Source organism: Homo sapiens, chromosome 1 (genome assembly GCF_000001405.40).
Source record: "Homo sapiens chromosome 1, GRCh38.p14 Primary Assembly".
NCBI lineage: Eukaryota > Metazoa > Chordata > Mammalia > Primates > Hominidae > Homo > Homo sapiens.
The window spans coordinates 97,536,110-97,555,036 of record NC_000001.11 but is presented as its reverse complement, the minus strand read 5'-3'; the positions used below and the strand labels follow the sequence as shown (position 1 = coordinate 97,555,036).

The 18,927-nt window shown below is 35.0% G+C and overlaps 1 protein-coding gene and 1 pseudogene across 6 annotated transcripts in view; one reads left to right on the top strand and one right to left on the bottom strand.

The window, feature by feature from the left end:
- Positions 1 to 18,927, top strand: part of DPYD (dihydropyrimidine dehydrogenase) — an 843,317-nt gene that overhangs the window by 366,023 nt on the left and 458,367 nt on the right. For all 6 annotated transcript variants that reach the window (XM_047448077.1, XM_017000507.2, XM_005270562.3 and 3 more), the window contains one exon: positions 5,293 to 5,477. In XM_047448077.1, coding sequence (XP_047304033.1) covers positions 5,293 to 5,477 — 185 coding nt within the window. The remainder of the gene's footprint in view (positions 1 to 5,292; positions 5,478 to 18,927) is intronic.
- Positions 7,877 to 9,348, bottom strand: SEC63P1 (SEC63 homolog, protein translocation regulator pseudogene 1; annotated as a pseudogene).

Below are 18,927 nucleotides of genomic sequence, written 5' to 3'. Positions count from 1 at the left end.
AGTAAGCAGTCCAAGTATATGACCGAGAAATTGGGTAAAGGAAGATATAAGAATGGCAGTGAGAAAAGATAACCATGTCAAAAACAAAGTTTTTTTCAAATTGGAGAGGAGAGGAGAAAATGACACATACAATATACTGAAAAGAGTAAGAGACAGTGTTTGAGGACCTGGAGGAGCAGGAAGGTACAGAATCAAGGTTATCTTCTGAGAGACTGGCAGAAGGAAAACAATGAATCTTCATTGTGGAGAGCATACTGATTAAAGTACTGAGAAGTGGAAGGGAGATGTGAAGACAAAGCTCAAGCCATCCAGACTTGATATTCTTAGTTGGAGGCATTCTCTGGTTCTGGCCCTTCCTTACCCCAGGTTATTCTATTTAAACAGAACTCTGATATCCTGGCCTTGTAATTAGAATTTATTTTGATCTTGCTGAGATTTTGCTTTCAGCGCTGAATTACTGAGATTACTGCCTCAGCACACCTTTTAGTTTCATTGTGATTTGGTCCTAGTGGGTGATAGGTTATGTAAAATTAAACAACAAGGACATAGATGAATTCATCTATGTTTTCAAGGTATCATTTTATTGTAAATGTTGAAAGTTTTTATTCCCCCCATTGTTTTATAACACATCAAACTCTCCAAAGAATACTAATAATCCTTCTTCATTATGATATCTGTTGTATTGTTTTATTGTTTATGGAGAATTAATTTATATTTGTGTACTAAAATATAACATTCTTGACATCTTTTTATAAAAACTGAGAAATATACTTGTCATATGCTTGTGGGTTTCTCTTTTACATATGTGACAGCACAGCTACATCAGTTTAATTGACCTTGGCAATCTGCATCTGCTAGTGATGTGTCCCTGAGGGACGGTTTCTGCAATTTTAAGCTGTGGCTTATTGAAGAACTTGTGTGTCACAATACCATTAAGTCTGTATAAAAAATCATTTCATGCACAGCATTAAATTGACTAAAAGTTCCAATTTCAAAACCGTTTCTTGTTATAAAGCTACCTCAGAGTGTCTTTGTTTTTTAAATAAGCTCATTTGAACATAGTAGTAATTAAAGCAGAAAATTAACATAAATCTTGAATGTTTGGTATGAATTAAGGACGTTTTCATTCTTTATAAAGACTGCATAAAATTCCAGGCACCATATCATTTAACAAATTTCTCTTCCAATTGCAGAATAATATAGACTGTGAATAAGCATGTTTTGGGATTCTTTTTCAAGTTCTTTTTCTGTTCAACTATGGAGCTCCTGGGACATATGCCACAGTCTCCATCAAGATGCAATCTCATGGAAAATCTGAGAAAACTGTGCATGAACATAACAGAAAATCCCCCCCGTTTTATAAACAAGAAAGGAATAATACAATCCTTCTATTAATATTCATTTAACACTTCAGAGGAAATGGCAAGCAGTTATTTGGTTTGCAGATGTAAATATACATTTTTCATTCACTTATGCTTTCACTCCTTCCAAGCTGGGTAAAGACAGAACAGAAGATTTGCTTCTGAGTTTTATTTTTATTGTATTCCAAGTTAAATCTATCAGCAGAGATGTAAAAGAGCTCTGAGGAGTTCATAGAAGAACAGTTACAATGATGAGGATGATAGTCTTCCTCATAAGGAGCAACTAAATAAATGAATTCCTTTCTGAGAAATTATGAATAACATGCACGTGGATTTTTTCACTGAATCCTTGATTTGAGTTCTAAGCTTAAGAAAATGATTAAATAATTAAAATAATGGCTATATTTTAAAAGAATTGTTGAAATTAGGAAAGGTATTTAGCTCCAGATTTAACAAAGTTTCAGTAAATTCATATATAGTATGAATCAAATTCATACTATATATGAATATTACATGTGCTTAGAGTCTACTACATGTACAAGGAAATGATCCTAACCATTTGATATTCCAGTTGTGATAGTCATTCTTGGTGCTTAGGGCTACTGAAAGAAATATTTCTGACCCACTGTAGCATTGCTTATATTTATAAATGTTGTCCATATTCTACTTTCTTAGTGATCTTTTTGTAGATATTTGATGAGCCAAATATTGGGTATTAAAATATATACAGATGGTCTCTATTTTGATTGATGTTAGTAACCTCATAACCAGCTGTGTGATCTCTCAGCTTTTTCTTTTTATTTCTGGAATGAAATTAGGAACATGTTAAACTTGAAGGTCTCCAAAATGAGCAGGAGGAAATTTGGTAGTTAATTTTCAAAAGGAGACTGAGATGATTTTTAATATGAAAGAAAATCCTTTTTCTATTTTAGAATAGAGTATCAAAGAATTGTTTGATTTTTAATGAGGTTAGCTGGATATTACAAATGATAAAATAATTAAAACAGTTGATATTCAGGTTTAAGACTTCACAGAATAAATAAATCAAATATTAAGGAAAGAAAGCTTATTTTTAAAAGTATACATGAGTATTATGAATGTTTAAGGATACATAATAACACAATGCATATACAATAGAAATGCCCATGAGCAGAAGAGTGCTTTTGAATTCACAAATAAATGCCCCTAGGGTGGCTTATGATGTTGGTGCTAAATATTTTAAGAAACATAAAGTTACTTATTAAACTCAGAGTAACATTTCCTGACTACTTATGGACCGAGTTTGTGACAGGTGGAGTGTTAAAGTGAATTGTTCTATGTACATTTTTTGCATCCTAAAATATGGTAAAGCACATTCTTCAAGAACTTCAATTTAATTTGTGAAGCATTTATTCAGCACCTCCTGTGTACAATTCACTGTGCTCAAGTGAAGATTCAAATTTTATGAGGCCTGAAGTGTATACAATTTGAGAGCTCTTCTTTAAGAAAAGAAAAATTCATAGATTTGAAATTAGGCGCAGGGCTTTGAAAGAGTCCCATGCAAGTGAGGGACCCTACTTAAGCTTCAGTAACTTCATGATAAAGTTATCCCTTCACATCTAGGGGGGCTTGGTTCCAGGATCCCCCATGGATACCAAAATCCATCTATGCTCTTAAGTCTGTTATAGAAAATAGTGTATTATTTGCATATAATCTACACATATCCTTCCATATACTTTAAATCATCTTTGGATTACTTATGGTATATCTAATACAATGTATATGCTGTATATATACTTGATATACTATATTGTTTAGGGAATAATGGAAAGAAAAAAGTATGTACACGTTCAGTACAGACATAAACATTCTATTTTTTTCCCAAATATTTTCAATGCACAGTTGATTGAATCCTCAGATGTGGAACCCACAGATATGGAGGGCCGACTGTAAACATGTCTTTGACTCTAATTTATGTTGTGGGACTCAGAGATAACTAAGGAATTATTCCTACCTTGCTCAAGCATAGAATGAAATCTCTACTTAAATTTCAAGGATATTGCTGTGAAACATGAGATAAATGTAAAAAAAAATGCTTTGATCTCCTAGTGATAAAATTTTGAATTTCTTATCTTTTTATTAATTATCTTTATTTCAGATCTGTTGTAGGCCAAAGTTTTGGAAACATAAGATCATTTCTGATAGAACAGAATTCATTTTTACCCCTTGCCACTATTTATAAAGCTCATTACATATATCATTCAATGATGATGTGTTACAGTTGCCATTATTAAAATAGGTTGAATTGATGAGCCATACTCACTATTGACTTTCTTGCAACTCAAGTAACTGTCAACAGATGGTAGTGATGATCTGTTATGCAACAGGGAACAAATGATAAAGATCTCTTTTCATGTGACCTTTAAAAACATTAGAAAAATTTCCTTAAAATGCCTTTCTGCTTTGAAAATAATTACATGAATATTTAATTTTCCTCTCAATGAAAGACGAAAAAACAAATAGAAACAGTAGAAGATTTTAAAATAAAAACCTGAGTATGATAGCATTGACCCATCTACTCATTCATTCATTCATCCATCAATCCAATTGAGTGTCCTCTGCTCCAAAAACTGTAGTGTGCTCTGTGGAACACAGGCAAGCAGTGTGGACAAATTGCTGTTCTCATGGAACCTATGATCTTGTGGGAAAAACACAATCAACAGTAAACCCTCAATAATTTTCTACAACTCTAACATTCTTTAAGTAGAAAGCTACAAATATATACCAGTGTTTATTTTATTTCTATTTTTTTCCTCTATTTTACTCAGAAGAAACTGGTTTTAGGTGTCAAAAATAACATTTTTTGTATTTGGCTATTTTGTGTTATACTTGATTCATAAATAAATTCAACAACTAACTTTTCTGTTCCAAAATCTCCCAAGCTCTCTTCCTTTAGTTTAAGTTGTTACTAATATTTTCTCTTTGGAGTTGGAGTAAAGAATAAGGCCCTTAGTCTGTCTGAGATGCTGTGCTTAAAAATTATGACGTTACCTGGAGAGAACATTTTATCCTAAACACTGGCTTACTCAGTTTACTCCATCAAATAGGGTGTTGTCCACCTTTCTTCATTTCTTCTCTTACTCAACCCTTTCTCTAAATTGCATCCATTGATCTCTTCCACATGTCAGGATTATGCTTTCAAAATGTTCGTTAGATATTTTTCTTAAAGAAACACAGCTTCATTCCTCTTCCATGACTCTTTTAGATTCATTAGAATGCAGCATATTTAGTAAATAATTGCAAAACTACTTTACAGAGCAATTTCCACAAGGAATTAATGGTAATGTTTGCATTTGTTGCTTTTAACAAAACAAAGCAGAAATTGCTGGCTAAATGTAACTGTATACTAGATCCATTAAATTGCTTAATAGTAAGTGCAAATAATTTAATGAAAATGTTATATATGTTGTCTCATTTTGCTTTATAAAATGTTTTGTTGTAAAAGGGAGATTAGCCATTGACCTGAATTCATGATGTAACTTTCAAAAGTGACACACATGAACAAGTTGGGGATAATATAAGTAGTAACAGATTTGTAAAAATGATGGCTATGAATAAAGTTTTAGAAAAATGTATTTTGTATGTATTTAAAAGGTTGTACTTTCCTTCTTTATAGATCCATACTTCGTAGACATAAATGTCCGCTCTGAAACATTGACCAAATCTGTGGTCTTTAATTCCTGTATGTGAGGTGTAAAGTTAAGTCAGTGCCCTTCAAATGTGTTGTTAACTCCAATATTTCGTTAGCTTTTCATTTTTATAGTTTACTAAAAACAGTTGTTTGAATCCCTGGAACAATAATTAAACCATAATTTTTCTTAATTTTAAAATTATTGTTATGGAATTGTCTGTTGACTAGTGATTGTCTATTGTTTTTCACTTGTTTTTTCAGTAAAAGAAGCCTTGAGCCCTATAAAATTTAACAGATGGGGTCTCCCAGAAGTAGATCCAGAAACTATGCAAACTAGTGAAGCATGGGTATTTGCAGGTGGTGATGTCGTTGGTTTGGCTAACACTACAGTGGAATCGGTGAATGATGGAAAGCAAGCTTCTTGGTACATTCACAAATACGTACAGGTAGGCATTTGCCATCATTTCCACTTAATTCTTTTCCAATGGATAAGTGCTTCATTTATTTTTGATACTCATCTATAAGAGCATTTCTATTTGGTATATAATAAGCATATATACAATATGTCACGTACATACTTGGATACAAATTTTAAAATGTAGACTAGGTAGTAGAACTGTTGAGTTGATTAAAAATTGGGCCAGGCGGGCATGCCACCTAATGCCTATAATCCCAGCAATTTTGGAGGCTGAAGCGGGAGGATGCTTGAGCCCGGTGTTCAAGATCAGCCTGGGCAACATAGGAATATCCCATCTCTACAAAAAATAAAAAATTAGATGGGCATGGTGGCACACGCCTGTGGTACGAGCTTCTTGGGAGGCTGAGGTGGGAGGATCTCTTGAGCTGAGGAGGTCAAGGCTGCAGTAAGCCATGATCGTGCCACTTGCACTTCAACCTGGACAACAGAGAGAGACCTTGTCTCAAAAAAAAAAAATAAGAAAGAAAATTTATCATGCATTCCTACCATTTGAGTACTGTGAAGTCATTAGTCCTGATGTGTTCAAAATATTTATTATTGGCTTAAATACATAGATCATACACTTATCAAATCTGATGGTATACAATATTATAGGACATATACTAGAATCTACATTAATTATAATCTTACATACTCCAAAAGATGGTTTGATCTGTTCATTTGGACCAGATAAGGTCCTGTCTGTTTTCCAAATTCTATGCACCTAAGTGGAAAGGAAACAAACATTTGATGAATTTCAGTTGTAATTTTTATTTTTTAAATTAAATTAAATTTAATTTTTTTATATTTTTTGAGACAAAGTCTCGCTCTAATGCCCAGGCTGGAGTGCAGTGGCACGATCTTGGCTCACTGCAGCCTCCACCTCCTGGGTTCAAGCAATTCTTATGCCTCAGCCCCTGAGTAGCTGGGACTATAGGTTCATGCCACCACACCCAGCTAATTTTTGTATTTTTAGTAGAGATGGGGTTTCACTATGTTGGCCAAGCTGGTCTCAAACTCCTGGCCTCAAGTGATCCGCCCACCTCAGCCTCCCAAAGTGCTGGGATTACAGACATAAGCCACCGTGCCCAGCCTTCAGTTGTAATTTTTGAAAACAATTTAGTTTTTAACAATTTAGGATACAGAATGTGAAATGATGAGATGTGAAGCTGAGCATACTTTGCCACAACGACTGTGGTCTTGAGGAAGAAAAGTGTAACTACCAGATCTCAGTAGCTTACTTTCCGACTAAATGCTTTGTTTTCTTTTTGTTCTGTGATTTAATTAAATGTAGATACAGTTACCTCATTTATGTAAAATGTTCCTGGAAAATTTGCTCTTGTTAATAAAATTTTTATTCTTTCTTTCCTATTCAAGGAAGAGTGCTCACACTATGCCTTTTTACCACTCTTGTTTTTACCACTCTTGTTTTGGTTCTCTTGTTTGTTTCCCACATGCTAACAAAATTCACTTTATCTTTAATGCTTCCTTTAATTTCTTCCTCTTTTCCATGACCATTTTGTCTATTCTAGTTGTCCTTCTCATGTTTGTGTAACTAATGCAGGACCTACTTATTTGCTAGGTAGGGCCTGGACTTGACACTGATAGTATCATCTTTTAAAAGTTTGATTCACCTGCCTACTTCCACCTCCTCCTTGGCATCTTTGAGTAGTGGGGCTTGAGTTGTTGGGCCAAACCGTGGTGTCCCAGAAATGTAGGAATCTCAAAATGAATGAGGTAATTGGGAGACTGAGGTGGGAGGATTACTTAAGCCCAGAAGTTGGAGGCTATAGTGAGCTATGATCACACCACTGCACTCTAGCCTGGGTGACAGAGTGAGACCTCATCTTTAAACAACAACAACAACAACAAAACAACGAGAGAGAAAGAGAGAGAAAGGAGCCTGTGGATTTTGCAAAGAGACAAAGCTTTGATTCAGGAAATAGCATCTAGGGAGATGCCAAATCTAAAATTTTAAAACTTTAAAAAGTTATACATCAAAAGGGACTAGGCTAGGCAAAGAAAGAAAGAAAGAAAAAGAACACAATTTAAACAGAGACAGACACTGGAAAACCCAAAGGAGACAAGTTGGTGAGTGGTTCAGGCTCCAGTCTTTGCAGTGACTGAAGGATAGATAGCAGCACTATGCTTTACCAAGTGTTTATTGCCTCAGACAGAGGAAGCAGCAAAGGACAGCTATCCACTCAGGGAGTGGATGGTTCCCTACTTTGCCTCCTTCTGCATTTCCTGCCCCCCAAACTATCTTCCTGTTTTTATTTTCTCATTCTACTCTTATTTTCAGAGTAATTTCACAGTTTTTTTTAATAATAACAAAGGATTTATTATCATTTGCAGATGAAATAAATGCACCATCCCATACTTGAAAGGTTTCAGTAAGCCTTAACATTTTTCAGGTTGTACCAAGGCACTGCCACTGCCTAGTTATATTATGCACCCATTTCTAGAGTAAAAAAACTACACCTCCCTCAACATCAGTTCTGTACTGTTTCTGGTTTATGATAAACTTCCAAAACAGCAAAAAATTGCAAATATGTGCAAACACTATGGTCCATTCAGAGTACTGCTTAGTCATCATCTTCCTCTTCCTCCTCTTCTTCCTCAAAGCTATCTTCAAAGCCCTCACTGTCCTCCTGGTCTTCATCCCCCTCTATTGCTGTATCCCACTGTGGGTGATTTTCTGGCACAGGCTTGGCCTCATGAACTTCCAACTTCAATGGTTTAATCTGATCCAAACCCATATAGGAGTCTGATCTCAGAAACACAGTATACTGATAATTTCCAGGCTTGCCTGGTGCAGGAAACTTCAGCTCTACTTCCTCTGTATCTTTTAGTGTACACACATGATATGGCATGGATATTAATGTCTGCTCCTTCCTATCTGCAATGTAAAGCCACCACCATTCTTGTTTTTCCTCAGGAAAGTAAAGGCTATACACAGGATGTGTTATTTTTGATTTGGTTTCCAATAGAGCGCTCTCTTCTTGCTGTATGCTTTGTAGTAATTCTTGCCACTCTGCTTCATCATCTTTGTTTTGTTTTTCATCTTGCTCTCTATCAGAGTCTCTGTCACTACCATCATCTTTCTCACTTCAGGAATCTCTATTGGTTTCTTCTTCTTCAGAATCACTGCCCTTATCTGAAACTTCTTCTTCATCTTCCTTTACTGCAGCTTCATTCCCAACAACTCCATTTGCCAGCTTTTGTTTCTGTTGCTTTGACTGTGGTAATAGCACAGGTGCAGGTTTTTTTTTTTAAAGGTTTCTTTTTTTTTGATTTAGCAGTTTTCTTGGGTCCTTTACTCTTCTGTTGCCATCCTCGTTTTGTCCTGTTCTTGTTAGTTTCACCCTGCCCATCTTCTGCTGGCTGTTCCTCTGCAGCACAGAAGGACTGCTCCTTTTCAAATACTTCAGCCATTGTTTGCCTTGTCAACTTAACCAGCACTGTAACTAAGGATCCTACTGTGATGTTGTTGCTGTCTTCATCATCTAACACCTGTGATTTTATATTCATGGTCACATATGGAAAACTCCCAAGGACAGCCATAACCTCTTCATATTTTTCATCTTCAAGGAAGTGCAGTAGAGTATGACAATCTGATTCTTTAAACTCACCAAATCCTGGATAGTTTAAATTTTATACTTCTTATGATTAGAAACCTGTCTAAGATTGTCCTCTTCAATGTAAGGGAGCTGCAGAAGGGGAGACTTAAATTGCTGAAGTCCCTGAACGGCCATCTGAGAAAGCTTCATGCAGTTTTCTAGGGATGCCAAAGTTGGAGCACGAAATTCCCTTTCTTCACGGTTCGGGGCCATTACTATTAGTTGGCAGTTTTTAGTTTCACAGTTTTTAATCTTACCTCCTGCTGTGTAACTCTCTAATCTGTACCTCCAACAGGGCACTCTCTTGCATAATCCAGCAGTCCACTGAATATCTTCCCTTGTGTCTCTAATCTACTTTTCATATTCACCAAACATCTTCATGTAAATGTCTTTCCTACATTTCAGATTCACTGCTTTTAAGTCAAACATTTCTTCCCAACTTGCTCCAACTCCAGTATTTAACATTTTTTATTTCCAGGTTCAAACCTACTAAGTTAGTGGTCCTCATAAATTACTCAGAATAATTAAAATTTCAACATTGATTTGGAAATCAATACAATGCTGATGGCTTCTTCTTTTACAGAATAACAATATTAGAACAAAGGAAACTGACATTTATTTATATAAATTAATAGGACACTTTATGAAAAAGTTAGGAAAGGCTAGAGTCTCAGAATAAGAGATACGCTCAAGAAAGTACAGTTAAAAGATTTACATTGGTGCACATATACAACATGCACATAATTTTTTTTCATTATAAGACAAAACGGTACATAGCTGTATTTACCAACTACTTATCTAAGTTTTATTCTTCTCTCTTTTCTATATAACTGGTCAATTCTTATTCTATCTCTTAAAAACTCTTTTATACCCTTATTTTATTTTATCTTTTGTGTGGAGTTATAATTTTGATTGACCAGAAATCTTACTGAGCAGCCTGCTAGCTCCTTTAAGAAATGAAAGTGGAATCAAGGGATAAGAGATGAGGTTCTTGTGTTAGACCAGATGAAGCCCAGTGAATGTGTGAATTCATAGTGAAAATGGTATGTGGGCAGAGAAGCTAAAAAGATTTGAAAAAGTAAAATTGAACACAGGTCAGTGGAGGATTTTGTTTTTTGTTCTTATCCTAAATATTTAAATCCATTTATAGATTTTAAATTAAAATGAATAAACAATGCTTAAATATATTTATGATTGTAGTTTGGTGGTGTTTCACAATATCATTCTAAAGGAATCTTAATGTTTTTTTTTTTTCTGTTCATTTCACTGTTGTCTTGTAACTTCCTGAATCTAATAAATGTGTACTGGAAAAAAAAAGAAATTATTTTACTTCCATGTAATGGCAGATAGGAAGTTTGAATAGAAATCTGATGTGTAGAGAAAGGAGAGAAACAGACCTTTAGCTATAATGAAGAAAACATGCATGTGCTTTAAAAACACATATTGCTAGGAATGATAGTGTTTGAAATATAAAATAAAGGTTGTGCCATGTAAGAATTTTGGATTTGGTTGAAGGATTCAGACTTGTCAAACTAAGTGTTGAATTACATGTTAAAATGGAGTAGAGATGGAAGGTAGGTAAAAATCTCTGTCAAGTAAAATCAACATTTCCACCTTCCTGCCAGGGTGTTGGATGCAAAGTGCTAAGCAGCGATAAGGCTAACAAGGTACATATAGACAAAGTGGGATTTTTCTCTCTCCACATTGTCATTAACTTAGTTCTGGCCTCTATCACCTCTCTTGAAATTGCCTCCACTTTCTCTCCTGTCAAATCCAATGCCCCTACACTGCAGCCAGAGTCATCTTTCTAGATTATCAGTTGAATCCTAATTAGCTCATTTAAAACCCTTCAATGACTTTTACTCACACTCAAGGTAAAGGCCAAACTTCTTAGCTTTGAGATGCTGATTTGAATGTCCCCAAGCATACCAAGATTTCTCCTGAATCTGGGCCTTTCCCCCACTTCACCCATTTCCCTCTGGTTGAGTCCCACTTGTCCTTCAGGATTGGCTTTCTCCTCCTCGTCCAGGGAGTTTGTGACATGAACTTCCTTTGTGCTCCTTGTTTGAAGCCTGCTTACTGGTCTGTCTCTGCACAAGCTAGGAACCATGTTTATGTATTGCTGTACCCTCAAAATAAAGTATTCATCTATTACATAGGAAAAATATGCAGAAATCATTTATCTTAAATACATTTAAGGAGGAGTTAAGAAAACTAATGAGTTTGTTATATGATAAGTTCATTAGCATATAATATTGTTTTCTCACAAATGTAGCATTTGTTAAAAAAATTTCTGTAATGTCTATAGTATGTTTCACAACTAAGGCTTATGACATTTTGTCTTATATTTTACATTAGTTTGTTTTGGGGGAAAAGGTAACATTGAATAGCTTATTTTAAAATATGATTTTATAAACAGATTATAGTATTAATGCATGCAATTGGGTGTTTAGAAATTCTTTGTAATATGCATTTTCAGATAAATGTGATTGTTTGAAGACATCCATGTTGGGAGAAAGTGGAGGCAATTTCTCTGAGGAGAGCTTCACTTAAATTTCATCAGTTAATTTGCTCAATTACCACTTATTAAGTAATAGCCTTTGGGCCCACACTTGACTTCGGGAGGGTACCACAATGCATAAATAAGAGCAGTATAATATAGTGGTTATAAATTTGGGCTCTCTGAACTACAGAGAAGACATCAGATCCAGTTCCAACACTTTCCAATCATGTTACCTTGGACAGGTTACTTCAGCACTCCAGGGTATAGAAGTGAATAAGCAATTATAAATTATTATTATTACTTAAAATAATAATTAGAGCTGCTATCTTCTTGGGTCTTGCAGAAGATTATGAAAGAAAGTATGGAAAGCTCTTGGTAAAGACTAAGCTTTGTGAATATTTGTTGTGTATACCATTGTTGTGGGTTATTAGAAATCATTCACCTTGTATTGTTAAAACGAGATCAGGAAAAAGATGGCAAATAGGAAATTTGAATAGAAATCTGATGTATAGAGTCTTAACAGATGAATATTGAAATAGGATATTTTAGGTAGTTGCAAAAGCATTTTATTTAGTCATTAATTTATTCATCCACATACATCCATCAATCTCATTTATGCATTAATTAATTCATTCATTCAAAAGATGCATTTTAAAAAGTAGTGGATATAATAGATAGCACCAATTATTAGATTTAAATTTGCAAGTAAGAATCCTATTGTCTAGTAAAGAAGTGAGTTGTGTAAATGTAAGCCCAATATAGCATACTTAACACAATAATAAAAAGCATCAAGTTACAAAGGTAACCTGGAAGAGACAATGACTGATTCCATCTGGATGTGGGTATTAGGATGTGGAATCAGCAAGGACATCACAAACAACAAGAAACAAAATTTAAAAAGAATAAGAAAAATTAGAATAATACTGGGTAATTAGATTTACTGGGATTTAAAGAAGGCTACTGGATAAGATTTTATATGTTGCTCACTCCATGAGGGGTACCCAGACCAGGGTACAAGCTGGCTGAAATCCAGACCAAGCTCCACTAATCAAACAATAAAACCTTTTGTTGTTCTGCTTCTATACAGAGGAGGGAGTACCTTCCTCAAATTTTCATAAAGATGTTCTCTGTTTGGTCCATAAGTTTTGCACTGTGCAGCAACTCCTTTTTATTTCACCAAAAAGCATAGGGTGGACAAATGGAAGCTCTGAATATAGAGATTATATAGGAAAAATGAGAGAGAGAAAGTTCAGTAATTATACCAGGAGTAGAACATGATGAGATTGCCTAGCTAGGATTTCAATTTGGAGTAGGTAATGTGGTAGGAATTGTTCATGTATAGAAATGATATGGTAGTGTCAGATCTGGTATTAATGTGAAGAAAAGCGTTTTCCAGTTTGTCAGAAATTCCCTTCTTAAGTGTCATTCTGTTATAATATTAAATTTACTTTTTTAGTTACTTCTACTAATAATTCAATATGACTTCACCTTAATTGTTTATAATGTGATATTAGTGGAGTCCAGGCATATTTATTTTCTTCTACCAAATGAATAAGAATTACTGAATACGAAAGATAATTTTGACAGTGTACCTAAAGAAAGAATTTGTAACTGAAAGAATGACTATAGCTAAATGAATTCCTTAATTAGTTTAATTCCTTAATTTCTCTTTTCCTATGAAACCAAAATTAATACTTTGTTGGTTAATCAGAAAAAGTTAAAATGGGAAACTGTAAAAAGGATATACACATACATTAACCTCATCATTTTATTATTTATTACATAAGCAGCACATGACCAAAGCTTATAATTTTATTTAAAGCATATAGATATTTTCTCATTTTCCTTTTTCTTTTAAAAAAATCCAGGGCCAAGATGTTTTTAAATAAAATAGCCAGATGTGTATTATGTATCTTGCCTAAATCTATCTATAACATATTGTCTACCATTTTCATTTTTAAAAGTGGTACAAGACCTTCGAGAATCATACAATGCAATTTTCCAGATTTTTATGTTTGTCCTGCAGTCATTTCAGTGGTTTGACCAACACCTAATTTGACAGCAGTATTTTTTAAGTAACTCATTTTTATCATATCCTTCAAGAACATTCAACTTAGTTTTCATAGAATCAACCTTCTTTCTTTTTGCATCCATATAACTAATTAATGTTTATTTATTTACATTTATATCCAACAGAAACAGGGCGAGAAACATACAGCTGACTCTTGATAAGTAGACAACTCAACTAATAAAAGCAGAAATTTCGTAGGTATACAGGGGTACCACTGGTTATAAAGCATCAGCATTACTTGGCCATCTTTTGTGTCTCTTAGGGAGGAAAACAAGGGAAGGAAATAGTCCAGTAAATCTGTCAGATGCAACCAACTTGGTTAAGAGAGCATGTAGAGGACCTCAGTTTCTTCATTACAAAAGCACCAAATAGAGACTGAATTAATATCCAATGTTACTAATTTATAAAAACACATGGTGATATTGTGAAATTTTCATCTTTACCCTGTTTCCTGGCATACAACTCCTAAAATCTTTGGAATCTCCAAAGTGATGAGTATGTGTGTGTGTGTGTATGCTAATGAGTTGACTGATGGCTGACAGCCCATAGGTAACTACAGGATAGGGGCTAGTCACCAGAAGGACTGAGGCAGGACTAGGATTGGGACTTTCAGCCCTGCTCCCCAACCTCCGGGGAGAGTCAAGGGGCTGAAGGTTAAGTTGATTGACAGTGGCCAATGATCTAATCAATCATGCCTATGTAATGAACTTTCCATAAAAACTCAAATGGACTAGGTTCTGAGAACTTGCCAATAGACAAATATGGGTGACGGGGGTGCTTCCAGGAAAGTAAACTAGAACGCTTCCGTGTGCCAAGAAGGTGGCACACCCCAGCTCCACAGGGACAGAAGCTTCTGCTCTGGGGGCCCTTTCAGACCTTGCCCTATGTGTCTCTTCATCTGACTGTTGTGTTTGTATCCTTTAAAATACTCTTTGTAATAAACTAGTAAAAGTTTGGTTTTTGTTTTGTTTTGTTTTGTTTTGTTTTGTTTTGTTCCCTGCCCCGCCGCCACCCCCACCCCCCACCCCCCACCCCGGGTTCTGTAAGCTGCTCTAACCAGTTAATCTAACCCGAAGAAGGGGTTGTGGGAATCCCAGTTTATAGCTGGTTGGTCAGAAGCACAGGTAAAATAACCTGGGGCTTGTTATTGGCATTTGAAGTGGTAGGGGGCAGTTTTGGGGAATGAGCTCTCAACCTGTAGGAACTGGTGCTATCATCAGGTAGATAGTGTCAGAATTGAGCTGAATTAGAAGACATTCAGCTTGTGTCCACTACAGAATTGATTGCTTGCTTGCTTGCTGGTGGGGAGCAGTTCGCACACACCTGGTGTCAGAAGCGTGTTGTGAGATTTTAGTGGAGAAACTGAGTTTGTTTTATCCACTCACACAGCATTCAGAAGGCGGAGCACTTACTTTGTTCTAGTATTAGCATATAGACAGATTTGGTTGCAAAAAGTGGAGAGAAAAAGGCTATATGGATATCTCATCATGTTTTGTCCTGCCACTGAGAAAAAACTTGGAGATAGAACACAAACTAAATTATTCTAAATTATAATCCCAGATCAGAAGCTCATTGTCCCTTCAGTAGTCATGGTAGTCCTGAGAAGGAGCTCTTATAAACATGGAACATTTTGTCAAATAATGTTGATCTTTATAGAAATTATAATCACAAAACTAACTGGTTTGTTACATCATTAGAGTTATTTTTGCCGTGTCATTATTCTTTTATTAAGAATTGTTTTCAATTCTCTATATTTTAGATGCAACGTTTAAAAAGCCACAGTATTTATTACCAGTAGTGGAAGGGAACAACTAAATGTACATGTTGCTGCTACAAAAGCAGTTGTGGTAGAAATATATATATATTGAGAGACAAAAAATAAGAGTTATTAATAGAAGGATAAATATGGAATCAACAGGTAGAGGTAGAAATTCAAATAAAATAATTTGTATAGAGCACCATTTTAAATATAGGCAAGAAATGAAAAGGAAAAGATCTATTTTCTTCCAAGTGGGATTCATTCCATGAAAATCAAACATTTAGGGGAAAATGCAAAGTGTAAGGAAGGAGGCGTCAGGGCATTAAATTTAAAAAAAATTTGAGTACATATTTCTAAGTGACTTCAGGAGTCACTGCCTACTTAGTTATGTACAGAATAATTGCCGTTGAATAGTTATAGAATATTGTTTATTAGCAGCCAGCATTTGAAGTCAACCTTCAACAACAATAAAAACAACAACAAAAAGTTAATTTTTTCATTGTTGGCTTAGGTTCAATATTTCTACTACTGTATATATATATGTTTGCCTAAATATATGTTCCTAAATACTATTCTTCTGTTTTCTTCAGCAAACTTTATCCTTATTAAAATATGCTGTATTCCTATAGTAAGTGTCCACGTTAAGGTGTTTGATAATGTTTTGATTATTTCATTTATGAATCTATATTATTTCTTCCAATTTGTCAACCCCCCTCTGAAACTAACTTGTGAGGCAGAATTATTTTAGAATAGATACACAAGACACACACACAAATATTCTGGAATGATACTGAATCTAAAATACATTCCTTAACCCTGTAAGCTCATGAAGCACAAGTATCTTCAGTTTCTCTGCAGTGTTTTTCAGCTTAATGGTAGCTTATGTGAAATACTATTGAAAGTTACAATGAAGTTCTTTAACAGTTACTGTGATTCTACTCAGGTACATGTAGTATATGGGTATATTTTGAAATAGGTGTTTATTAGGTTCATGAGAACTATCATAGATGTCTTGCATTGGTGACCTACTTTTCTACTGCTTAGATTTTTTCTGTGTGTATTTTCTTCTGGCTTGACTGAGGCACAAAAAAAATCACTAGTGGTTGAGGGAACTAAGTATCTCAGGGGATTGGTAATGAGATACAGAGCCTTTAACCTCTTGGTCACTAGTTCAAATCTGCCCCAGGTCAAGAGTGACAGAAAGTCATTACCATCTGATGGCAGTTCAATAGGCTATGTGAAATGAATGTGTGATTTCAAGACCTAGTGGAGACAAATTCATGCCATAGACCTGCAGTAGAGTGAGTACAAATGGTAGCTGTGGTTTTGGTTTGAAGAGAAATGAGAAGTCCAGTCATTGCTAGATATTCCATCTTCTTTCTGTGAGCTGAGCTTCCTTTTGGTGGATTCGTTAATGGAATGGCATGAGAAAACTAGGTTTATGCCGTGATTTGGGGCCAAGAGGTGCACATCCATTGCTAATGAGGTACAATTCAGCATCACTAAATTGACTTTTTTTTTTTTTTTTGAGACAGAGTTTCACTATTGTTGCCCAGGCTGGAGTGCAATGGCACGATCTTGGCTCACTGCAACCTCCGCCTCCCGGGTTCAAGCGATTCTCTGGCCTCAGCCTCCCAAGTAGCTGGGATTACAGGCATATGCCACCACGCCCAGTTAGTTTTGTTGGTCAGGCTGGTCCTGAACTTTTAAAAAGTGATTTTAGTCTCAGATGATGATGAATTCAAGATTGAAAGTTACATCATTCATGTCTTCCATTTCTTCAATGCCCTCAACGTATATTTTTTAAAGGTTTCAGTTTCCTTTTTAATCATGACATTAATTTCATCTAATTTGGACATATGACTGAACATTTAGGGAAGCCTTTTCATTCTTGTTAATCTTTCACTTGAAAAATACTTAGTTAACAAACAAGAACAGACAATTATAAAGACAATTAAAAATATGGAATTCCAAATTGAGTATCATGGAAAAAGATCATTGTGATAAAATCTAATTGAATTGTGTGCATTCATATCAATAAATGAAATTTTTTACATTCTTTTTTGGGTTGAGATTATGTGAGGAATTTTGTCTTTCTGCTATCTTTAATAAACTGTCATTTTATTAACAATTTCTGATTTGGGGACATTTTAAAGGAATTATCTTTCTGAAGAGGAAAAAAGGCTTGTTTATACCTGAAAATTTTATAAGATGACAGCATTTTAATAATGGCATATTTACTATTTTATTTTATGTTGGGGGCAGTAATTTTTGAAATGAATCCACAATGCTGGGTTGTAAGAATTTTAAAGCTACCTTCAATAATGCTTATGATGTGGGAAAAAAAGTGAAGAATGGTAATAACTCTGCCTCGTGTTAAAGATTTCTGCTCTGGACAAAGATGAACAGTTGTTGAAAATATGACAGTCAGGGATTTTAGAAAACAAACTTACAAGAACTTCTCTGTGTTGAAGTCCCTGTTACTTAGAAGACCTTCAGTCCCAACTTTAAATAAAAGACACTTGTTATCATTATCATTGCTTAAAATATCACTTTAATTTCACATCTTCAAAGGCATTCTTTTGCCCTGAAATATACCAGTGATTTCTACAATATCTGAAGAACTATGATTCGAGAATTAGAAATTTAAATTGCACAGGCTTAATATTAGAGTATTTCCGTTACCCTTTGCAGGTTTTGAGGCAGCTTATTCGACCTTACAGTCTCACCAGGAAGCTAATGGGAAAGCCTTGCAGCAATCTTCACAGGAAAGTTTCCAAATGTCAAGTGTCATCTTTCCAGCTGTTAGATGAATGGGTAGCCAAGAGGCATTTATTTGGGTGTGCAGCCCCTGTGAAATCTGGGTGAGGCAAGAGAAAAGGCTATAATTTGGTGTTTAGTTTACCAGCATCAGTATAGTTGCAAATCTCCTAGCCAGGCAAAGGATTTCATTTTGTAGTTTAATGATTGACAGCCAGCTGCAGTGTTCTTGCACTTAAAGAATAAAAATGCCTGAAGAAAGGGCATCATCGATATGTCATACTAATTTTTGAATCCTCTACTGCTTCAGATAAAAACAATCTTATCAACAGAGCTGACTTCTTCTTCTCTAAACCTTTCCAACTGAGAAGAGGTAGGCTTTTGAAATGACAACTGTATTAAAATCTTGAGACTTACTGAAAAAGTGTCCTTCAGTTTAAGATATGTTGCAAACTCTTTTATTCCTGTGTTAAGAGAAGATTGATATAAATCATTGGCCACTGTCAGGTTGAAAAACAATGAATATCAATAAAAAGACAGTTTTAAATCATAATGGGTTTAGTTTGAGATAGTGATAGCCTCCAAAAAATAATATTGAAGTATGTCATGGCTAAATGCTGTTTCCATGCTAAGTTTTTCCACTGGGTCAGGATCATACTGTTGAGATGACTTCAGGTCAGTCTCATTGGGAAACTGGGCCTTTAGACTTAACTAGTACCAGAAATG